At 44.3% G+C, this 24,378-nt stretch overlaps 1 protein-coding gene and 1 pseudogene across 11 annotated transcripts in view, besides 1 other annotated feature; both read left to right on the top strand.

The window, feature by feature from the left end:
• Positions 2,937-3,094: a silencer, noted in NCBI's record as "fragment chr1:178019054-178019211 (GRCh37/hg19 assembly coordinates)". NCBI's record gives its function as "represses an EF-1alpha promoter that drives an FKBP-Casp9 reporter gene in an ReSE screen in phorbol 12-myristate 13-acetate-treated (for megakaryocytic differentiation) K562 erythroleukemia cells {active_cell/tissue: K562(+PMA)}" and the evidence as "EXISTENCE:reporter gene assay evidence [ECO:0000049][PMID:32094911]".
• CRYZL2P (crystallin zeta like 2, pseudogene) overlaps positions 15,006-24,378 on the top strand; it is a 31,872-nt pseudogene continuing 22,499 nt past the window's right edge. For 3 of the 8 annotated variants that reach the window (NR_151485.1, NR_037167.1, NR_151487.1), the window contains exons 1-6: positions 15,006-15,116; positions 15,212-15,319; positions 18,212-18,308; positions 19,928-19,986; positions 20,518-20,583; positions 21,353-21,462. The product of NR_151485.1 is annotated as a crystallin zeta like 2, pseudogene, transcript variant 4 (transcript). The remainder of the gene's footprint in view (positions 15,117-15,211; positions 15,320-18,211; positions 18,309-19,927; positions 19,987-20,517; positions 20,584-21,352; positions 21,463-24,378) is intronic. The other 5 variants (NR_151486.1, NR_151488.1, NR_151484.1 and 2 more) reach the window with 3 other exon arrangements.
• CRYZL2P-SEC16B (CRYZL2P-SEC16B readthrough) overlaps positions 15,037-24,378 on the top strand; it is a 109,189-nt gene continuing 99,847 nt past the window's right edge. For 2 of the 3 annotated variants that reach the window (NM_001356506.2, NM_001356505.2), the window contains exons 1-6: positions 15,037-15,116; positions 15,212-15,319; positions 18,212-18,308; positions 19,928-19,986; positions 20,518-20,583; positions 21,353-21,462. The gene's annotated coding sequence lies outside the window, so the exon portion shown is untranslated. The remainder of the gene's footprint in view (positions 15,117-15,211; positions 15,320-18,211; positions 18,309-19,927; positions 19,987-20,517; positions 20,584-21,352; positions 21,463-24,378) is intronic. The other variant, NR_151492.2, reaches the window with a different exon arrangement.

The raw sequence follows: 24,378 nt of genomic DNA, 5'->3' as shown, positions 1-24,378 counted from the left end.
ATGCACACACTGTCTGATTTCAGAGCCTCTCCCTGGAAGGCTTGTTTATTCCTGGTAAAGGCAAAATTTCCTTCTTTCCAGGTGTATCTTTGACCACTTTATGAAGGTTTCTTCAGGAGTATTACTTCAGGATGGTAGAGATCATATTCAGGGCAGGCCTGGCTACAAGGCATCTTATTAAAACACTCTCCACCCCTGGGTCTGTGAGGAAACCTGAGGGAAATCGGGAGTTTCAGGAGCTAGGACATATTTCCTGCCTCCCAGCTTAACAGGAAGTGATGGTGACGGCTGTCCACTGGGAGGAAGAGAGGGGAGGTGGGTGTTTTTTTTTTTTCTTCTTTTATCCTGGGGTATGCAAAAGGAAGGCTACAGATGCCAAACAATCCTTCCACACCTGGTAGCTGGGGCAATATTTGTGGGGAAAAGGAAATCCTTCCCTCCATCTTGCTCCTTAATTTATAGAATTCACTGGGGTTGAGGCACTTATAATTAAATACTTGCAACACTGCTTTTTTTCTCTGCTGAGGTAGAGAGACTACCACCTTTAAAGTCAGAAGACTGGGGTTTAGGCCCTGACTTTTTATTGATTGCTCTTGGTTTGACTCTTAAGAATTCACCAAACATTTGTAAATCTGTGTCTACCATATGCCAGGTACCTAGCTAGGCACTGAGAATACACAAATAGCGAAGTCACAGTCTTGACCCTGAAGTTTTTCATAATCTCCTGGGGAAGGCATACACACAAACAGTCACAGCACAATGTGATGTGAGCTTTACTGAAGCTAGGAAAGAGCCACTGTGAAAGCAAGAGGAAGGGGAATGCACATGTTTTCAAGGTGGGGCAGCAGAGTGAGAAGGTGAGAGGTGGTCGGACTGCTGCTAGGGAGGGTTTCACAAATCGGAAGCCTGAGCAGGATTTTAAAGAAATCCTGTTCACTTGGAGAGATGGAGACACACACACACACACACACACACACACACACACACACACACACAGAGAAGGGTGGTAGAAAGAGCCCCGATAGACAGCATCAAAGTGTGGCAGAGGAGAAGAAGCTGAGGACAAGACTGAGAAGGAGCAGGCTGGGAAGCAGGAGGAGAAAGAGCAGAAAATGGCTTTGAAAGCTAAAGAAGCCAACTATCATAGGGACCGATGAGCATCCCTTGGACTGAGCATATGGGAAGTCACAACAATTTCACTGGCCTTTGGGGGTTGATCACAATAGGATGAGTAAATGGAAGGAGACCAATGGAGCTAACAAGCATATTCTTAATGTTTGGTGGACTTGGCTGTGAGGAGGAGATGATGGCTAGACAGAGATAAGGAATGAAGGAAGCCTTTCGTTGTTTTTGTTTATGACTGAAACGTGGGCATCATTATATGCCACAGTGGAGAGGGAGGAGTTAACCTACAGGACAGAGATGGGATTAAATGGGGTGAATGCCTACTTCACAGAGTCGTTCTGAGGATTAAATGAGATCCCCTTGGTGAACCCCTTGGTGAACCCTTTCTCTAAAGAGATACACACATGTGAAGTATGATTATCCTGCTGTTGAAATGAAACCATGCATCATCACAAGGCATTTGAGCTCACTTATCACTTGGCTGCTGAGATAGGCAAATCTCCCTCTCCATAGCCTTTTTGTATGCACTGCTTTCCTATTTCCTCTTGCCATGGCTTTAAACATTAGAGCCCAATAATTACTTGAGCTCTCCTTGACATTTCTTCCTGACAAACAACACAACTCACCAGTTCCCCCGGATCACAACAGGAAGCTGGGGGTTGATAAGTGAGAAGCGATTAAGGGGAGGACGAGAGCCTCCTCATTGTTATTATGAAGTGGAATTAACATCCAGACCTCTTGGGAACTTTGCCTTGTCAGGTTATTAGCTTTTCATCAGAGAACCATAAAGACACAGGGACCATGATGTACAATGTCCCCTCACGGACACCTGCGTCCCCTTTCCCATCTCAATTCACGAACTGTAAGTCCCACCGCGGCAGAGACTTTTGTCTGCTTTGTTAGCTGCTGTGTCCCTAGTGCCTAGAACAGTGACTGGCACATGGAGAGTGTCTAAAAAATATGCAGTAAGTGAATGATTCACCCATTCCTCTTTCAACTGATTCAATAAAAATGAGTGTATACTATGGATCAACCACCAAATGTATCCTAGATAAACACAGTTAAAGAATACTTGTTATCATTTAAACAATGTATATTCTGTGCCAGGCACTTTACATACATTAGTTCATATAATCGCCATCATTTTACAAATGGGGAAACGGAGACTCAGAAAGAAGTCACTTGGTTGAGGATATGTGATTGGAGAGTGAAGAAGCTAGAATTCCTGACTGCTGGAATTCCAAAACCTATACTCTTTCTACAACAGCCTCATCCCTCATCATTCTCCAGCTCAAACCGTAACTTCAATTGTAAATGACCACTTGCAATTCCTTGACCATGCCATGTTCTGTCGTGTGTACTCCTTTGCCTGGGACACATTTAGCTGTGCCCTCTGGCTGGGTAATTCTTCTTCATTCTTCTTCTCTGAGGCTTTCCTGAAATGATGTCCTCTGGCTGGGGTAGGCTGACCTTCCTCTCTGCTCCCATATCGCCTCTTGCAGCCCTTCATCACAGAACATATCACAGGCATTTGAGATGCCTCCTTATGCGAACTTCGCTCCACTAAACAGTGAGAGGCTCAAGGGCAGGGACAGTGTCTTCATAACAAAAGCTGCTATTGATTGAGTGCTGCCACAAACGTGCTTACTTTGTTTAATTTTCACGACCACTACCTGAGGTGGGAATTATTATGCTTCTTTTTTTTTTTTTTGAAATGGAGTTTTGCTCTTGTTGTCCAGGCTGGAGTACAATGGCATGATCTCGGCTCACTGCAACTTCTGCCTCCTGGGTTCAAGTGATTCTCCTGCCTCAGCCTCCCGAGTAGCTGGGACTACAGGCATGCACTACCACACCCGGCTAATTTTGTATTTTTAGTAGAGACAGGTTTTCTCCATGTTGGTCAAGCTGGTCTCGAACTCCCGACCTCAGGCGATCCGCCTGCCTCGGCCTCCCAAAGTGCTGGGATTACAGGCGTGAGCCACGGCTCCCAGCCTATTATGCCTCTTTTTTTTTTTTTTTTTTTTTTTTTTTTTGTGAGATGGAGTCTCACTGTCACCCAGGCTGGAGTGCAGTGGCCTGTTATCAGCTCACTGCAACCTCTGCCTCCTGGGTTCAAGCAATTATCCTGCCTCAGCCTCCTAAGTAGTTGGGTTTACAGGCACGCACTACCATGCCCAGCTAATTTTTTATTTTTAGTAGAGATGGGGTTTTACCATGTTGGTAGGGCTGGTCTTGAACTCCTGACCACGTGATCCACCTGCCTTGGCCTCCCAAAGTGCTGGGATGACAGGCATGAGCCACTGTGCCTGGCTTATTATGCCTCTTTTAAAGATGTGGAAATGGAGGCTCAGAGAAGTTAGATAACTTTAACAAGGTCACAGTGAGTAAGTAGCTAACCCAGGAATTAAACATAGTTACATCTTAATCCAAAGCCCAAATTTTCACTTCGCTATGCTGTCGTTGGAATTATCTACAATGCTCACAGCTTAGCTGTGGGGGTAAATAGATAAATACCACCTGAACATTGAGATTAGCAAGCTACTACAGGTTGGTACAAAGTTCTTTGGAGTGACATATGGAAGGGAATAATTTGTTCCCTTTGGGGGAGGTGGGAGATGGAAGAGCTTCATAAGGTTGCCAGAATGCTTGGGAATTTGTCAACTGAATTAATAATGATGGTTCAAGGTGGAAGACAGTTCCCTGCATCTAATCCTGGTGGTTGGTTTTAAGGGCCACAACAGCCATTGCCCAGGTCACTACTGCTTCCAAGTTGGCCCATCTGGGTGCCAGGAATGCAGCCCAAATGCCTGCTGGTACCTGCTTAAGTGATGACTGGTAACCAGGCAACCCTGTCAGCACATTGTTTCATTGAAATCATATTTGTGAGTGTGTGAATATGAAAACAACTTTACATAATCACAGTTTTAATCTTGCACAATATACTTTACATTTAAATGAAATAAGTGTATTTTCAAGCTTATGGCTATATGGAATAGTGCAGCAACCCCTAATTATGTGTTAGCTTCTCTTCCTGCTCTTGTCCCTTAACTACAGGCATCCCTGGAGGCTGCTTTCTGTATTCTCTCCTCCAGGGAATTAATCTATTTTCTAGGCTTGAATGACTGTAAAATTCCTATAAAATGAGGCTTAAAACTGCAAGCAAAGCATTGCTTTAAAATATATTGTATAATACCTTCTTTGTCTGCTCTTGGGGGTATTTGTCAGGGAAAGCACAGTAGGCAGCCGGATACTGTTGTAGGGGCTCTGGTACCAGGCAATTAGGATGATTCTAAACTGCTCCATTTCCCAGCTATGTGGCCTTGGGCAAGTTACTTGGCTTCCTTAAGCCTACATTCCTGATCTATAAAAGAGCAAAAATAATAGTATCTTAGTCATAGAACTATTGGGTGGATTAATGAAATCATGCAAAAGCACTTAGTGACTGGTTTGTTAGAAAAAACCAGTAAGTGCTACTGTTTATTTACATATTTACCTACTTGTTTATTTTTGTTAGAGACAGGGTCTCTCTCTGTTGCCCAGGCTGGAGTGCAGGGGCACAATCATGGCTCACTGCAACCTTGAACTCCTAGGCTCAAGCGATTCCCTCTCCTCAGCCTTTCTAGTAGCTGGGACTTCAGGCGCATGTCACCATGTCTGGCACTAATTTTTCTATTTTTTTTTTTCATAGAGGTGGGGGGTCTCACTATGTTGCCCAGGCTGGTCTCAAACTCCTGGCCTCAAGTGATCCTCCTGCCATGGCCTCCCAAAGTGCTGGAATTATAGGTGTGAGTCACCATGCCCAGCCAGTGCTACTTGTGATGATTATTATTACTCTCATGGTTAGCAGGGTGAACAAATTTGGGTGACAGTGATTTGAAACCTATGAAGCACTATAAAAATGTGAAATATTATCACTATTATGGATACTGCTGAGGAGTGAGATCTAAACAGCATGGTATTAAGAGCAGTGAACAGGAAGTCAGGAAAGCCAGATCCCAATGCTACTCCTGTCACTAATCAGCAGTGTGACCTTGGGCCAGTCTCTCCCCTAACCTCAGGTTTTTTTACTTGTAAATAAAGTGGTTTGATTAGATTATCTCGAAGACCCATTCCAGCTCCGAAATTCTATGATTCCATGACTTTTGGAGCAAATAACTTATGTAGAAATCTTATACATTTCCTGGAATAGAGTAGGTCAATATACATTATATATTAATGGCCAAAGTACATTTCTGAAGTTGATAAAAGTTAACACCAATTGCAACAATCAGAAAGAGCATTCCTAGGGGAATGCAGTGAAAAAGCAAACTACTCCTACCCACCTTAGGAATTTTGAAGGACATCATTGTGGCAGAAGAGAATTTATATCTAAAATGGCAATACTGAACTAGTCATAAAGAAGATGAGATTATGTTCAGCATTTGTATACTTAGCTAAAGAAGTGGGTGCAGTAACCCTTAAAATTGTCTGGATTTGGGCTTTGGATAGTTATGTTGTGGCTGGCAGCTCCTCACACCTTCCTACCATTTACTGAGTACCTGCCATGTTCCAGGAGTGGTGGTAGGCTCTGAGGCTACTGAGACAGTCTCTATTCTCAAGGGACTGACAATCTATCGGGTAAAGCATTTTAACTGTGGAGGATACTTTTGCATTTTCTGCATATTCCTGCATGATGCTTACATTGTTTATATATTGTTTGTCTATTATTCTGTGAAAACATAGCTGTTTGTGTATTCAGCTTTGGCTTGCTTCCCCACCCTCAGCCCTCCACCAGCTTCTGGATGTTAAATATTATCTCTTCATGTGAGCTGTACCAGAAGGAAGAGTCATCTGTTACTCTTTTACTTCCTTAATGAGCCCTCAAGCTGGTTTGCAGGGCAGCTATCTATACTTTCTTTCTTTTTTTTCCCAGAGGACAGATTGGTTCAGATATAGCTGCTTGGTCTTATTCTCTCCCAGGACTCAAATTTTATTCTTCTTGTCCCCTCTCCATCTTACCCTCAAATAAAATAAAATAATCAGAAACAATCACCAAAACTAGATAGTAGGGTGTGGTGGCAGCACTTTGATGGATAGACCAAATATTTCTTTTGCTACTATAGCAACTACTATTAAATGCCTTGTCACACATCTTTGATTCTCTTTGGAAATGTGAAGGTTATTTTGCATATGTGCTTAAAATCACCTCAATTACTGAAAATACTTTCATCTCCCTCCAAGATTCTTCTTAATGGGGCTTTTACTATTTTCTTTAGATATTGTTATAAATGCAGAATGCAGTCTTGACCGTTTTCTCCAAACTATTTGATTTCTCTAAATATTCTCATCCCAAATATTTTCATATTATCTGAGAATGACAAGGATATTATGAAAATCATAATTGAAAAATTTTCCATAAAACAATTAAAAATAAAAAGTTTGATTCTTAAAGATTTTTTTGTTATCTAGAAAATTGATAACAGATAACTCAATGTTTATTGAACAATTCATTAGATAAACCAGTATTAAATGGCTGTGTCAGGTATTGTGAAAAGTACTGCAAACATAAAGGAGATTAAGAAATGATTGCTACTTTCAAGGAGTTCAATTAAGAGCTGCTTGCTTTATACCTTGTATAAATAGTTAATATTTTACAAAACACTTTCCATATGTAATAACTCATTTCATCCTCAGAACAATAAATCCTGGTTTCATACTTAATAAACTTGCAGTTTCTTGTTGCTCACTGCTTTTTTTTTTTTTTTTTTTTTTTTTTTTTTTTTTTTTTTTTTTTTTTAGACCAGGTCTCACTCTGTTACCCAGGCTGGAGTGCAGTGGAGCAATTCCAGCTCACTGCAATCTCCACCTCCCGGGTTCAAGCCATTCTCATGCCTCAGCCTCCCAAGTAGTTGGGACTACAGGTGTATACTACCACAGTTGGCTAAGTTTTTGTATTTTTGGTAGAGATGGGGTCTCATTGTCATGCACGTCTGTGTGAAGAGACCACCAAACAGGCTTTGTGTGAGCAACAAGGCTGTTTATTTCACCCGGGTGCAGGTGGGCTGAGTCCGAAAAGAGAGTCAGCAAAGGGTGGTGGGATTATCATTAGTTCTTATAGGTTTTGGGGTAGGCGGTGGAGTTAGGAGCAATGTTTTGTGGGCAGGGAGTGGATCTCACAAAGTGCATTCTCAAGGGTGGGGAGAATTACAAAGAACCTTCTTAAGATGTGGGGGAGATTACAAAGAACCTTCTTAAGGGTTGGGGAGATTACAAAGTACATTGATCAGTTAGGGTGGGGCAGAAACAAATCACAATGGTGGAATGTCATCAGTTAAGGCTATTTTCATTTCTTTTGTGGATCTTCAGTTGCTTCAGGCCATCTGGATGTATACGTGCAGGTCACAGGGGATATGATGGCTTAGCTTGGGCTCAGAGGCCTGACATTCCTGTCTTCTTATGTTAATAAGAAAAGCAAAACAAAATAGTGGTTAAGTGTTGGAGAGGTGAAAAATTTTGGGGGTGGTATGGAGAGATAATGGGCGATGTTTCTCAGGGCTGCTTCGAGCGGGATTAGGGGTGGTGTGGGAACCTAGAGTGGGAGAGATTAAGTTGAAGGAAGATTTTGTGGTCAGGGGTGATATTGTGGGTGATTAGAAGGAGCATTTTTCATATAGAATGATTGGCGATGGCCTGGATACAGTTTTGGATGAATTGAGAAATTAAACAGAAGATATAAGGTCTGAATAAAAGAAGGAGAAAAATAGGTATTAAAGGACTAAGAATTGGGAGGACCCAGGACATCCAATTAGAGAGTGCCCAAGGGGGTCCAGTGTAATTACTTACTTGGTTGGTGAGTTTTTGGGAAAAGACCATTAGTCTGTTTTATCTTTCCTGAAGATTGAGGACGGTCAGGGGTATGAAAGTTCCACTGAATACCAAGAGCCTGAGAAATTGCTTGGGTATTTGACTAGTAAAGGCTGGTCTGTTATTGGACTGTATAGAGGTGAGAAAGCCAAACTGAGGAATTATGTCTGACAAAAGGGAAGAAATGACCATGGTGGCCTTCTCAGACCCAGTGGGAAAGGCCTCTACACATCCAGCAAAAGTGTCTACCCAGATCAAGAGGTATTTTAGTTTCCTGACTTGGGCATGTGAATAAAGTCAATTTGCCAGTCCTGGGGGTGGCAAATCCCCGAGCTTGATGTGTAGGGAAGGGAGGGGGCCTGAACAATCCCTGAGGGGTAGTAGAATAGCAGATGGAACACTGAGAAGTGATTTCCTTAAGGATAGATTTCCACAATGGAAAGGAAATGAGAGGTTCTAAGAGGTGGGCTAGCGGCTTGTAACCTACATGGAAGAGGTTATGAAATGACGATAGAATAGAATGGGCCTGTGAGGCAAGAAGGAGATATTTTCCTTGGTCCAAGAAGCATTTGCTTGTGTGGGAAGAGATTGATAGGTGGAAGTTTCAGTGGGAGAGTAGGTGGGAGTGACCAGATGAGAAGGAGAAAAACTGCCGTGAGGGATAGAAGTTGGAATGCTAACTGCTTCTTTAGCTACCTTATCAGCATAAGTGCTGCCCCTAGCAATGGGATCTGATGCCTTTTGGTGGCCCTTACAGTGTATGACTCCAGCTTTCTTTGGAAGTAAGGCAGCCTTGAGAAGAGTTTTCATTAAAGAGGCATTAATGATGGAGGACCCTTGCGTAGTAAGGAAACCTCTTTCAGCCCATATAACAGCATGGTGGTGCAGGATATGGAAGGCATATTTGGAGTCAGTATAAATATTGACACGTAATTCCTTTGCAAGAGTGAGGGCTCGAGTTAAGGCAATGAGTTCGGCTTGCTGAGAGGTAGTGGAGGGAGGCAGAGCAGTAGCCTCAATGATAGATGTGGAAGATACTATAGCATAGCCTGCTTTTGCTGGTGAGTGGCAATTAGGCCTGGTGGAACTGCCATCAATAAACCAAGTGTGATCAGGGTGAGGACCAGGAAAGAAGGAAATATGGGGAAGTGGAGTGAATGTCAGGTGGATTAGAGAGATACAGCCATGGGGGTCAGGTGTGGTATCAGGAATAATGTAGAGGCTAGCCTAAAAAGGTAAGGTCAAGTTGTTTGGATGGAAAGGCTACAGGGTGTGGTCCCAGCTCTTGTGTAAGAATTTTGACTGCACAGCCCTGTAGTTTGGCTGTGTGTAATGAAAAGGGTCGGGATGAGTTAGGGAGAGCTAGTGTGGGAGCAGCTTCTAGGGCTGTTTTTAAGGAATGGAAAGAGGAGTGGGGAAAGGATTTAGGATCTATGGATTCAGCTAGGTTTGCTTTTGTGAGTTTATATAATGGTTTAGTCAGGATGGTAAAACTAGGTATCCAAAGGCGGAAGTACCTAACCATGCATAGGAAGGAAAGGAGTTGTTGTTTTGTAGAAGGGGTTGGGTTTGGGAGATTAGCCAGACACAATCAGCAGGGAGAGCACGTGTGTTTTCATGAAGAATTATGCCGAGATAGGTAACGGATGAGGAAGAAATTTCGGCTTGACTGAAGTAATGGGAGCTGTCTGTGAAGCCTTGTGGCAGTATAGCCCAGGTAATTTGCTTAGCCTAATGGGTGTCAGGGTCAGTTCAAGTAAAAGTGAAGAGAGGCTGGGATGAAGGGTGCAAAGAAATAGTAAAGACAACATGTTTGAGATCCAGAACAGAATAATGGGTTGTGGAGGGAGGTATTGAGGATAGGAGAGTATATGGCTTTGGCATCACAGGTTGGATAGGCAAGACAATTTGGTTGATAAGGCACAAATCCTGAACTAACCTGTAAGGCTTGTCTGGTTTTTGGACAAGTAAAATGGAGGAATTGTAAGGAGAGTTTATAGGCTGTAAAAGGCCGTGCTGTAACAGGCAAGTGATAACAGGCTTTAATCCTTTTAAAGCATGCTGTGGGATGGGATATTGGCATTGAGTGGGGTAAGGGTGATTAGGTTTTAATGGGATGGTAAGAGGTGCATAATTGGACGCCAAGGAGGGAGTAGAGGTGCCCTATACTTGTGGATTAAGGTGGGGAGGTACAAGGGGAGGAGGCGAAGGAGGTGTTGAACTGGGGAAAAGGGTGTAAATGAGGTGAGGCTATAGGCTAGGAATAGTCAGGGAAGCAGATAATTTAGTTAAAATGTCTCAGCCTAATAAGGGAGCTGGGCAGGTGGGGATAACTAAAAAGGAGCGCATAAAAGAATGTTGTCCAAGTTGGCATCAGAGTTGGGGAGTTTTAAGGGGTCTAGAAGCCTGGCCATCAATACCCACAACAGTTATGGAGGCAAAGGAAATAGGCCCTTGAAAAGAAGGTAATGTGGAGTGAGTAGCCTCCATATTGACTAAGAAGGGGTCGGACTTACCCTCCACTGTGAGAGTTCCCGAAGCTCGGCATCTGTGATGGTCTAGGGGGGCTTCCAAGGCAATCGGGCAGCATCAGTCTTCAGCTGCTAAGTCAAGAAGATCTGGGAAGGAATCAGTCAGAGAGCCTTGGGCCAGAGTTCCAGGGGCTCTGGGAGTGGCTGCCGGGTAAGTTGGACAGTCCAATTTCCAGTGGGGTCCCGCACAGATGGGACATGGCATAGGAGGAATCCCAGGCTGCAGGCATTCCTTGGCCCGGTGGCCAGATTTCTGGCACTTGAAGCAAGATCCTGGGGCAGGCAGTCCTGGAGGAATGCCTGGCCGCCGCAGTTTAGGCATTTGGAGTTCTTGTGTGCTGGAGATGTGGCTGGGGTTTGTCTCACGGTGGAGGCAAAGAATTGCAACTCAGAAATACGTTGCTACTTGGCTGCCTCTACTCTATTATTGTACACCTTGAAGGTGAGGTTAATTAGGTCCCGTTGTGGGGTTTGAGGGCCAGAATCTAATTTTTGGAGCTTTTTCTAATGTCGCCAGTGGATTGGGTAATAAAATGCATATTGAGAATAAGACGGCCTTCTGGCCCTTCTGGGTCTAGGGCAGTAAACCGTCTAAGGGTTGTTGCCAAACGGGCCATGAACTGGGTTGAGTTTTTATATTTGATGAAAAAGAGCCTAAACCCTGATTTGGGAGAGGTCGGAAAAAGGAGCATTTACCTTGGCTATGCCTTCAGCTCCAGCCACCTCTTTAAGAGGAAATTGTTGGGCAGGTGGGGGAGGGCTAGTGGAGGAATGTAACTGTAAACTGGACCGGGTGTGAGGAGGGGAGGTGATAAAAGGATTATAGGATCGGGGAGCGGAGGCTGAGGAAGAATTGGGACCTGGCTCAGCCTGGTGAGGAGCAGCCTGGGTAGGAGGGGAGAGGTTAGATGGGTCTGTAGAAAAGGAGCATTCAAAGGACTCAGAGCTTGGGGTGGAGACTGAAGGAACAGACCGCAGAGAAAGAAGAAAGATTTGGGATGAGTCGCATTGGGAGCAGAGACTAAGGAGGGACCAGTGTATGAAACAATGCCTGGATGTCAGGCACATCAGACCCATTTGCCCATTTTTCAACAAAAATCATCCAGGTCTTGTAAAATGGAGAAATCAAAAGTGTCATTTTCTAGCTATTTAGAACCATTATTGAGTTTGTATTGGGGCCAAGCGGTGTTGCAGAAGAAAATAAGACGCTTAGGTTTTAGGTCAGGCGAGAGTTGAAGAGGTTTTAAGTTTTTGAGAACACAGGCTAAGGGAGAAGATGGGGGAATGGAGGGTGGAAGGTTGCCCATAGTAATGGAGGTAAGTTTAAAGAGAAAGGTAGAGACATGGAGAAGGGAGTAGGTGAGCAGCCAAAGCAGGTGTCCCCGCAATTGACTTGCCACCAAAGGAATGTGGGTGAATGACCAAGGCAGGCGTCCCCGCGGTGATCAGACACCAATGGAGTGTGAGTGAATAATCAGGCAGGCGTCCCCGCAGTGATTAAACACCAAGGGAAGACTGTCTTCCCAAGTCCGTGACTGGCGCTGGAGTCTACAGATAAAATGTGTTTCCTTTGTCTCTACTAGAGAGGAAAAAGAACTGGAGTTGGAAGGACTGGGAGATTGAAGGGTAGCGAGAGAGGGAGATTGAAGGGTAGCAAGAGAGGCTGGAGAAGAGAGTGAAAAGACCGCTTACCCAATTTGAAATTCATGAGATGTTCCTTGGGCTGGTTGGTCTGAGGACCCGAGGTTGCAGGTGGATCTCCTCAAGGAGTGAGGGCGAGGACAGGGGAAGGGGACTGGTCTCCCGAAGGAGTCCTCCTGTCCCGGGTTTCAGCACCCAATGTCATGCACGTCCATGTGAGGAGACCACCAAATAGGCTTTGTGTGAGCAACAAGGCTGTTTATTTCACCTGGGTGCAGGCGGGCTAAGTCCGAAAAGAGAGTCAGCAAAGGGTGGTGGGATTATCATTAGTTCTTATAGGTTTTGGGGTAGGCGGTGGAGTTAGGAGCAATGTTTTGCGGGCAGGGGGTGGATCTCACAAAGTACATTCTCAAGGGTGGGGAGAATTACAAAGAACCTTCTTAAGGGTGGGGGAGATCACAAAGTACATTGATCAGTTAGGGTGGGGCAGAAACAAATCACAATGGTGGAATGTCATCAGTTAAGGCTATTTTCACTTCTTTTGTGAATCTTCAGTTGCTTCAGGCCATCTGAATGTATATGTGCAGGTCACAGGGGATATGATGGCTTAGCTTGGGCTCAGAGGCCTGACAATTATCTTGCCCAGGCTGTGAGCTCCTGGCCTCAAGCGATCCACCTCCCTCGGCCTCTCAAAGTGCTGAGATTACAGGTGTGAGCCACTGCACCCAGTTGCTCACTGTTATTTGGCAACCAGAATGTTCACTTTGATGATAACATTAGTATTTCTCCATTATTCCTGGTTTGATTTTATATGTCTAATGATTAACAGTTCACAAAGTGCTTTATTGTCTCATTGGAAACACAAGTTTTTTCAACTTCTCAGCTTCTAGTCATTGTTCTAGTCTTCCTCTTGTGGGAAGGGGGAGAGGACTAAAATGACTTCTCAAATTCCTTGTGAGTGCTATTAAAATAACAGTAAGCTCTGTTGTATATCCAAGGTGAGGACCTTGCTCTTGTACTCCTTTTCCCCAGAGCCTTTAGGCTATAATCTCAGAAGTTCATTCCTACTTCATTTTTGCTCTCCATTTTCCCTTTATTCCATTCCTGATCATGCCTTCCAGGTCATGCTCTATCTGGGAATTCTGTTTCTGTCAAAAAATAGAAGGAATTTAGAACTTAGGGATTATTCTGCCCGATGTGTTCATTTTACAGAGGAGTTCACTGAGACAGAGAGCCAAGAAATGTCAATGTTAAACCCGCAAATAAGTGGGAGAGCTGGGCTTGAACCTGAGACTACTCTTCTGCCAGATGTCTTTTAAAGACATCAGGCTGTCTTTAAAAGTTACCTGTCAAACGAAATATTCTCTCCAACATAATGTGTGCTTCTCTTATATAGCTAGCCTATAAATATTTGGTTACTGTTGCAATAGAGATCTACCCAATTTTATAATATTTCACAGATTATATTGTATATTTTCAATTCTTCCAGAGTGTGCTTATTCGCCTAGTGTGAATGGTCTGTGTTGGTCTTCGAGTCAACAATCATTTATTGAGCATCTACTATGTGCCAAGCATAATACTGGCATTGGGGACATGAGAACCAATGCTCTTCCACTCTCCCCGTGGTGGGTTTTGGTCTGATTTTAACTGGAAGTATTATTTGGATTTGTGTAGGCTCATTCAACATTGGATCATTAGTAACTCTTTGGATTTAGTGTAAATGGTCCTGCAAATGTGAGAAAATTAGTAACAAGAATTGAACTCTAACAAGGTGTTCAAATGCTGACTTTAAAGCCTTCACCTAGGCAGGTGTGGTGGCTCACACTTGTAATCCTAGCACTTTGGAAGGCTGAGGCGGGCAGGGCGCTTGAGGCCAGGAGTTCGAGACCAGCCTGGGCAAAATGATGAAACCCGTCTTTAAAAAAATACAAAAATTAGCCAGATATGGTGGCGCACAACTATAGTACCAGCTACATGGGAGGCTGAGGCGGGAGGATGGTTTGACCCTAAGTGGCGGAGGTTGCAGTGAGCCGAAATAGTGCCACTACACTCCAGCCTGGGTGACAGAGAAGGACACTGTCTCAAAAATAAATACATAAATAAAGCCTTTACCTGTGCATTTAGGATTTTTTGCACTGGCAGAGGACCCAATAACCTTTATCTATGTATCATCTGTCTGTCTGTCTATCTATCTAATCGATAGAGAAGGTCTCACTCTGTCACTCAGGGTGGTGCGATCATAGTTCACCGCAGCCTCCAACTCCTGCACTCAAGCGACCCTCCCGCCTCAGCCTCCTGAGTAGCTGAGACCACAGACACTGGCCACCACCCGCCTTGGCCTCCAAAAGTGCTGGGATTACAGGCGTTAACCACCCAGCCAAGAACCACTATTTAAATGTCGCCAAGTGTGGTTTAAAAAGTTTCCCAATTTTGAGGGGGGCAAGGGTTGAAAAACTATTAGGTACTATGTTCAGCACCGAAGTGACGAGATGATTCGTACCCTGAACCTTAGCATCACACAATATACCCAGGTCACATCTGCACATGTAGCCCCTGAATCTAAAATAAAAGTTGAAACTACAAAAAAAAAAAGTCTCCCAAATTTGTTATAAAAATGCCAAAGAAGGTTAATCTCGGGTAATCGAATTCCGTTTCCTGGTGTTTTCCTTTATTCTTTTTTTCTTCCAGCCGGCTCCACCTCCAGAGAGGCCCAACAGGGAGCTCGCGCGGTCGTTTGGTCTCGGCGGCCGTAGAAGCCGGGCGCACTGGACCGGAGCTGCCCCGCCGGGGTTGGGTCGTGGCTGCCAGGGCGCGTCGCCAGGAGGCCTCGCGGGCCGCCCTTCCGCTCTCCCGGGGCTGGGCGGCGCTGTCCGGCTCTTCCTGCCGCGCTCTGGCCACTCCCCCTCGCCCCTCGCTGGGCTTGGCCTTGGCGGCCGTGCTCTGCAGGCAGTGCCTCCCTCGGGCGTGGGTCTGCAGGTGCAACCCCGACTCCTCCCTGAGCCCCGCAAGGCAGTCCCAGGGTGCTCCCGGCGGGGCTGCCCGACTGACCCTTCCCTTGTTTTGTGTTGCAGGAGAGCCGGACAGGGCAGCGGCCGGCACTACCGCGCTGCGATTTGCGCAGAGCTGAAGAAGCCCCTGACCATTGAAGAGGTGGCCCCCGCCCCGTCGGGCCTCACGAGGTAGGGGGCTGGCTTATCCCCTTCTACCCTCCCCTTCTCCCCGCCACCACACACTCCCCGCAGGCTTCCTTCTTGAATCAAGTTCCCAGTTCTGAAGCGAGGGGGCGACCGAGAGAGTGGAGGGCAACTTCGTCCTGGGATAGCTAGGGGGCTGAAGCCCTTTCCAAGGTCTAAAGTGCTAAAGGAAGATTGTTCCCCCAAAACACGCCTATAGGCCTCTTTCTCAATGCTCAGAGCTGTTGCCTTAGAAACAGAGAATTCTGATTTGCACACGACTTTGTATGTGCAAGTTATTGGTTTAACACAGGTACATGGACCTCATCCTTTGCTTCCTTCCACCTCAGTGCCGGAATCGAATTATTCGGCCTCTGCCTCCCTGAAACCAGCCCGGTAACCTCCGTGTTTCCATGTGAACATACGCCTCTGGTATATTGCAGACATTTGGGATGGGGTTCGTTTAGGGATGTGGGCAGCTGGTCCACTGAAATGTGGACATCATTTTGGCCTTGCCTATTGACCACTCTAGTAACACAGTGTCATCTGGTGTGGAGATGAGAACCTCAGACAGCGTGAAGCAGATAGTGGGCCTCAGTGTTGGAGACCTTCAGGGAGAGGGAGAAAGGCAGCCATAGCCCTGAAGTGTTACCAGCATGGAGCCTGTTAACTAACATGGCTAACACGGATTATTTGAATGAGCACATGATGGCAGCCAATCTACTTCCTGGGATTCACATGCTGAACGACATTCATCCTCAAATCATCCTTAAATCTAGGTGGAGTGGCTGGAGAACACATGTGTGCCCTGTGCATGCCTGTCAATAACTGATGTGTCCTGCATGGAATGTGTCCAGGCTGAGGGCTAGGCTCCTTTGTTCTGTTATTTGTCCTAGACATTGCATTGTAAGGAATTAGCCCATGAGAGCTGTGACTATGTTTGTTTTACTCACTACTAAATCCCTTAAGTCTAAAATGGTTCCTGGCATGTGGCAGAGGCTTAAAAAATTGTTGAATGAATGAATTTTGTAGATAAAAATTTCTTCTCACCAATATGGCCACCTCTGTACAAACAAATCAATATCATCCCTTTGGTGTCTCAGCTTTCATTTCTTCCAGTAATTCCAACCCCTGTTGGGATGTGTTGGTTTATGACAGTGGTTGTCTAGCACAGCGGTCCGCAACCTTTTTGGCACCAGTTCTGTGGAAGACAGTTTTTCCATGGACTGATGGGGGTTGGAGGGGATGGTTTTGGAATGAAACTGTTCCACCGCAGATCCTCAGGCATTAGATTCTCATAAGGAGTGCGCAACCTGGATCCCTTGCCTGTGTAGTTCACAATACGGTTCGCACTTCTGTGAGAATCTGATGCCGCCACTGATCTGACGGGAGGCAGAGCTGGGCGGTATGCTTGCTTTGTCTGCTCACCTCTTGCTGTGCAGCTGGATTCCTGACAGCATACCGGTCTGTGGCCCCGGGGTTGGGAACCCCTGGTCTTGAGGCTTGTTAAAACAGAACGCTAGGCTTTGTCTTCAGAGCTTCTGATTCAGTAGGTCTGGGATGGGGCTTGATAATTTGAATTTCTTTTCTTTTTTTTTTTTTTTTTTGAGATAGGGTCTCACTCTGTCACTCAGGCTGGAGTGCAGTGGCATGATCATGGCTCACTGCAACCTTGACCTCCCAGGCTCAAGCAGTTCTCCCACCCCAGTCTCCCAAGTAGCTGAGACCACAGGCACATGCCACCATTCCTGGCTAATTTTTTAATTTTTATTTTTGTAGAGATGGTTGCCCAGGCTAGTCTCGAACTCCTGGGCTCAAGTGATTCTCCTGCTTTGGCCTCCTGAAGTGCTGGGATTACAGGCATGAGCCATTGTGCCTGGCCTGTGCCAGGTGATACTGATGCTGGTGGTCTGGGGCCACATTTTGAGAACCGTGGGCTTACAAGGCCTAGAGAAACTACTGGCTACACTGCTGTAGGTCTGCCTCAGCTATGGCACTATCACAAAACATAGAGGCTGGGGATCTGGGACTAGGGTAAAGGATTCCAGATTCCCCAAAGAGCTGATCATTTTACCCTTCTGTTTAAAACTCATTAATGACTTCCCATTGTTCCTAGTATGAAAATTAAGATCTTCAGTAAGGAGGCCGGATGCAGTGGCTCACGCCTGTAATCCCAGCACTTTGGGAGGCTGAGGCAGGCGGATCACGAGGTCAGGAGTTCAAGACCAGCCTGGCTAATATGGTGAAACCCTGTCTCTACTAAAAATACAAAAAAAATTAGCTGGGTGTGGTGGTGCATGCCTGTAATCCCAGCTATTTGGGAGGCTGAGGCAGGAGAATTGCTTGAACCGGGGAGGCAGAGGTTGCAGTGAGCTGAGATCATGCCACTGCACTCCACCCTGGGCAACAGTGTGAGAGTCCGTCTTAAAAAAAAAAAAATCCTCAGTAAGGCTTCAAACTCTCTTGTGTCCCCACTGTAGTGTCTTTGTACACGCCATTGCTTTTGTCTGTGCCAAGGCTTTTGCCTCCTATTTTGAATAGTTAACTCTCAGTTGTTAGTTCAAAGTGTTGCTTACTTAGGAATGCTTTTCCTGACTTCCCTAAGTGGTCAAATCCTTCCATTATGTGCTTTCATAGCACCATATATTTTTTATCATTAATGCTTGGTACTGGAGTTATAACTTAATATATGTATCTTCATTATTATCTGGTTAATATCTGTTTTCCCTCCTATACTTTAGCTTCATGAAGGCAGAGGCCTTGCCCATGAGTGTGTGCCAGCTGTTACTTTAGTACCTGGCATGTTGTTGTCATTCAGTAACTATTTTGGTATGATTGAATAAACATTGTCTCCGTGGATGTGTACTGTTCTGCTTTGCTGCTCTATTTCTTTTGTAGGTCAGAGTTGATGTCCATTTCTGTGGAGTTAACTTTGGTGATATTTTGATCTGCCGTGATCAATATCAGGAAAGGCCCCATCTTCCCTTCACACCTGGTGAGTATAGGGAGACCAAGTGACTGCTTCAGGAAAAAAAGATACAGGGAGTTTTCAGAATCATGCCCCTGGGCTCAGGCAGTGCTCTGTTGGTGTCTGCCTGCCATCGGTGATGTTTCAGTTATATGTGTCCATCTCACTGTGTATTGGGATCACTGGATTGTGAGCCCCATGAGGGCAAAGTCTATGCCTGTCTTGATCAACATTATATCCCCCAGCTTAGCATTGTACGTGGCTCTTAGTAGGTGCTCAATAAATACTCTAAAAATGAAGAAATGAACAAATGAATTTTCACCAGAATTATCATTGGTCCTAGCCATTCATTCCCTTTCCTTGCTGGATATTGCCCCAGTTTTGTTTCTTCACTGAAGGATCACAGACATCTGTTTGCAGCTAAAACTTTCAGCCTCACAGACACATTCCCAATAAAACCTAATGCCAGGCCGGGCATGGTGGCTCACGCCTGTAATCCTAGCACTTTGTGAGGCTGAGGCGGGCGGATTGCCTGAGCCTAGGAGTTCAAGACCAGCCTGGGCAACAATGGTGAAACCCTGTCTCTACCAAAATACAAAAATTAGCCGGACGTGGCGGTGTGCGCCTGTAGTCCCAGCTACTCGGGAGGCTGAGGCAGGAAAATTGCTTGAACCTAGAAGGCGGAGGTTGCAGTGAGCCAAGATCATGCCACTGCACTCCAGCCTGGGCAACAGAGTGAGACTCCGTCTCAAAAACAAAACAAACAAACAAACAAACAAAACCTAATGCCAAAGGATCAGAGAGAAGAAGAGTGTGGATTTCTTAGCAGCCCTCTGCCTGATTTTTGTTCCCAGTCTACCCCTAGATCCTGCACATGTGGACAAGTGACTGATTTTTGTTGTTGAAATTTATTTAAAGGGATGTAAGTATAGCTTAGCATGTATATAGTACATGTACATTTTATACAGATATATATCATGAAAGATAGAGTGATTGCAAATAGTTACCGTGTTTTGTTTTCAGGGTGTTTGATTGTATCTCGACAGTTAGAACCATTTCCTTCTGTTTATATTTGCTGAAATACTGGTTGGGGGGAAGATGTCATACACAATTGAGTTATTCCCCTGGCAGCTCAAGTAGGAAACATCATCATTAATTCAGAAATTTCAGAGGTGAAAAAGGAAAGGGCAGACAGCACCAGTTCATCCAGTTGAGCCAAGTACTGTCTGAATAAACACAGTTCATGTCCTTGAGGGCCCTACAGGCCAGCAGAAGAGACTTGAAAACAGATAAATAAATAGGATGAACATTGTCACTGGGGTGCTATAGGAGGTCCCAGTGATTAGGGTCAAAAGTACCTGTGTACCTGTGATTCTCTGTGCTTTTGCACATTCTTGAAATTTTCATTTGTGTCATGGTAAGATTGAGACTGCTATAGCTTCCCAGGTTGTGATGGTGAAATCTTATGTTTACTTTCCTGTGCTTTGAGTATAACACCTTACCTCTCTACCTGCATATGGAGAGGAGGAGGGGCACCTAAATCCTCAGCTCCGAAAGCTGTTGGAATAGCCTGTCGATCAGTGTTTTCTCATCTCCATGGTGTTGTGTTTTACAGATAACCTAATCTTTAAACAATATGTTTTTAGGAATGGACTTTTCTGGGACAGTATTGGAGACAGGCACAGATGTCAGGACAGTTAAAGAGGTAAATTAATTGAAGTCTAGGGAATCAATGTATATGTAGCTATGAAAAATATGCTAACTTCATTTGTAGCCAAAGGGTCTTGCTTCTACTGGCTTTTGCCTGCAGACACCAAAGGGAAACCTAACTAGAAAGGTAAGAAACAAAATTCTTTCTGGGGAAAGGAAGTAATTGGAAGTTCCTGGCTTCATTAAACTTTTCATTATGAATAAAAGGCGGCACCTCAGTCTTTAACCAAGAGGACAGAGAATTTGATTCTCTTGTGAAATTAAGAGTGGGCTTCTAATTCAAATCAACCTTTCCCTTACTCTCTCTCTTCGTCTCAAATGTGCTCACTCAAATTGGCTTCACAGCCTGGTGGTGGTATTGAGAGAGTTATTATTTTATTTACTAAACAGTAACTCTGAATAATTAAGACCAACCTGTGTCTTATGGAGTCAGAGATGTGCATTTTTTTTTCTTTTTTGATTAATTCAGGAAAAGGAATGCAAGGTCATACATTTGCACATATCCTTAATGGTATGTTTCCTTTAGGGAGATAGAGTTATTGGCACAAGAAACTTTAATTGTATGGCTGAAGAATGCGTCACTGACCAGAAGGTATCTGTACCACTCAAGATTAATGGTTGAAGATGTTTTTTCTCCTTTGTTTTTCTTTAATTTCCACCTATCCCTCATTCCTGTCTTCCCCTCTCCCTCTTTTTCTTTGTATTTATTTGGTCATGTCTTGTTTCTCAGCTAAGCACTTCATTTTTTCAAATGTTAAACTCCTTCTCTTCATTAATGTGACAACACTTTGCACAGAGCTTTGTTTGCATTGAGTGTTTTAATGAAGAACAACATTTTGTTTTCTGAGTCCTTGAGCTGGCTGTTCATTTGGACTAGGTAGTTTTAGTAGAAAAGCTGGTTTTGGGCATTGAGCTGGATGTAATGGGCTTCTCCCAGACACAAAGCTTATGAAAGAGATAGCCCTGGGAATGGAGCCAGCCAGGGTAGTCTAGCATGGTTGTGCAGGGTGTGAATGGTGCCCCCTGGTGGTGGACAGTACACAATTGTCCCCACCAGCTTTACTGAGGTAAAACTGACATACCAGACCATTCACCCATCACAGTACAGTGATCTGTGTTCCATTCTCTACCTGTTGGCTCCTTTCTGAGCCAGATGCTAGCCTTGGGGTTTTGAAGTCTGATGCATTCAAGTTCTGAAATCTGCTACAGCTTGCTTAGTTTTGACTTCCACTGGGCTTGGTTATGGGCAAGTGATTCCCTTTACAAATCAGTCACTGAATCAAATCCTAATATTTACTGAGCAGCCTTTACGACTTAGGTACATACACTCAATCTGTAAGTCACTGTTATCTCTTTTTTAGGACCTGTGGCAGATTCCAGAAAAGGTCTCCCTATAAGAAGCTGCTGTCCTCCCTATAACTTATGGCACTGCGATTTTTGCTCTTGAGCATTGGGCCCGTACCCAGCCTGGGTAAGGACTGTGTAGATGACAGAAGGCTAGAAAGTACCCTTCTCTTGATATCAGAAGTGTCCGACAAGGCCATGCCCCACCTCTTCCCTTCCCTTCCCTTCCTTTTGGCTGAGGAAAGGCCAAAGGGAGGTAGCCACTTGAGATTGGGGTTTTTTGACTGTGAGGACATCCTTCTGTCTGAGAGGAGATGATAGGCTGTGAACTTGGCCATTGTGAATTGGAGAAATACCTCTCTCAAATGTGACCGCCCTGGAGATCTCATAAAAGTATTAAAGTGTAGATAGTTGGTTTATTTAAACCCATTTCACTCTGAGTTTATTAGAGGCCTATGGTATTTGTTTCTGTGAGGCCTTGTTGAGTGTGTCAGATGGGACATTTCAGGAGAAAAGGTGCTGAAGTTTGACTCTTTACCTGGAGCATACGTACTACTTCTTGATCTTTTCAGAGAGGTGAGACTCAGAATTGCTTCAGAGAGGTGGGTTTAGTTGAGCAGTGGCCATTACATGCTCATCACCTTGTAACATTGGGCAGTATCTAATATGAGAAGGATTTTAAGATAGAATTTCTGAAGAATAAATTGGAGTGGTAGCTCAAAGGAAGGGTTGCCACTGATATGAGGGAGAGGCTACCTAGAGAGATTCAGGAATATTTTTCCTGGGAGGTCTTCAAAACTGAACCCAATTAGCACTAATCTAGAAGTCACATCCGTAAGCTTACAGGGTGGAGAACAGATGTATATGAAGGTTTGAATGAAACGACCTCTAACATTCTTGCTTTAAAATGTTCTGTTTCTAAAATATTTGTGAAATCATATTACTGGTTGACTTCTGAAGGTTTCTGAAGTAGCATTCATCTTTCTTTGGCACAGAGTTGTTTTAGTGACGGCAGCAGCTGGAGCCACAGGCCTTGCAGTGATGTAGCAACAAATGTTCTTCAGGCCAAGGTTATTTGTATGTTAGAGTCACCACTTACAAAAATCATAACTCCAGTTTTCAAACATATATTTATTCAAACAATATATTCATTCATTGATTAAAAATCATGTGCAAGGCACTGGGGATATAAAGTAACCCAGAGCAGGGTCTTGCCATCTATTCGCTTACAGACTAGGGAGGGGGCCTAGAAGCAAATCACTCATCCTTCCAGCTACTAGACCCTGGCAAGGTCTGACCCACTTCATGCCTTCTGCACATGCTATTTTCTCTACCTGTAATTCTCAGAGCTGTCGTTCAGATTTAAACTCAAATGTCATTTTTTCAGAGAAGTATTCTCTGTCCCTCAGTCTAGGTGAGGCCCCTCTCCCTCCTCTGTATATATGATTTCATAGCACCTTCTACTTCTCTTTCATAATACATAGCTCAGAGTGTGGTTACTTGTGTCCTTATCGGGTTATTGTCTCCCTCTTACTGGATTGTAATCCCCATAAAGGCAGTGACAGTGTCTCTTTGGTTCATCCCTGTAGTCCTGCACCTAGCATGGTACCTAGAACATAGTAGGCCCTCAAGAACTATTTCTTAAATGAATGAATGAATAAAATAATGAAAAAAGACTTAGGTCTCTTCAGAAGTATCTTTCTGAGGCTGTGAGTGTTGGAAAAGGGGGATTTCTTGGAGAAGGTGGACATTTAAACTGACTTTTAAAGAATTGGTAGCAGTTGAATAGAGGAAGAAGGGAAGTGAAGGCCATTTCAGTGGTGGGAGGACTTATTAGAAGATAGAGAACTAGGAACTAGCATGATGCATTCAGAGAATTGCAAATAGTATCTCTGGAGCCAGGGACCTGGGGGGAAATGGTGGAAGGTGGCTCTAGAGAGGAGGGCAGAGATAAGATCACGAGGCCCTTGTGTGGGGCTGAAGAATTTGAACATTTATTGGAAGCTATTGAGAGGAGTTGAGGATTTAAAGTAGGGAAGTGACATGATATTTTTGCATTTGGAAAAGTTCACTCTGGTAGCTGTGGGGATGAGGGATAGGGGAAAGGTCAAGGGTAGTCTGGAAGCAATAGGACAGGCTCTTGGAGCAATCTGAGCCAGGATTAGGATAGGCTACCTGAACCAAGGCAGTGGAAACAATGCATTGAGAGATACTGAAGTGGAAAAAAAATAGATAATTTGGTACCTGGAGAGCATCCTGCTCTAGTCGAAAGAACAAGGACTTTAAAGTTAGCCTGACGTAGGTTCAAATTCCAGCTCTGCCTCCAGCTTAATATCGTCAGTTTTCTCACTTGTAAAAGAATGCTCTCTCCATGGAGTTGTTGTGGGAATACTGAGATTACACGTGCAGTGCCTATTAGAGGGCGGGGCATGTCAGTAAGAATCTCTTTAAAAAGAATCCTGTTATTATTAGACATTGAGTGGGAAGGAGCAAACTAAGTTAACTCGTGGAGTTGCCATCTAATTGAGATTGAGAACACAGGCAGGAATAGTGAGTTGGGTTTTGGCTGTGTTGAATGTGAGATTCCTGTGGAGCGTGCAATTGGATAGCCAGAGGGCAGCTGGGTATATAGGTTTGGAAATAATTGGATTGGTCTGGAATTCCTTTAGGGGACATCTCTCCTTTCTCCTATTAAGTTCCATTTGGGAAGGACATGTGAGTTCTGAAAGTAATCATAGATACCAGGAGGCTCCTCAAGTGATATGAACACATTTCATGTTAACAGGATGGGCTTTTAGCTCCTGTCTGGGGGAGAGACTATAATTGGTTTTATTGTCTAGAGCTATTGGTTATTTAACATTTCGAGGAAGATAAAATTGTACAAATTGTTTTAAATAGTTATAAATTGTTATAAATAGTAGATAGAAAAGCTCACTTTAATTAATATATTAAAATTAACCTAAGCTGTATTTTCTTGAACCTCAATAATGGTTTTAAACAAAAGCAAACAAAAATATAAATGTTACCATGCCACCTATGTGGA

The sequence above is a fragment of the Homo sapiens genome, chromosome 1, assembly GCF_000001405.40.
Source record: "Homo sapiens chromosome 1, GRCh38.p14 Primary Assembly".
Classification (NCBI taxonomy): domain Eukaryota; kingdom Metazoa; phylum Chordata; class Mammalia; order Primates; family Hominidae; genus Homo; species Homo sapiens.
This window is presented reverse-complemented; position numbering and strand designations above follow the sequence as displayed.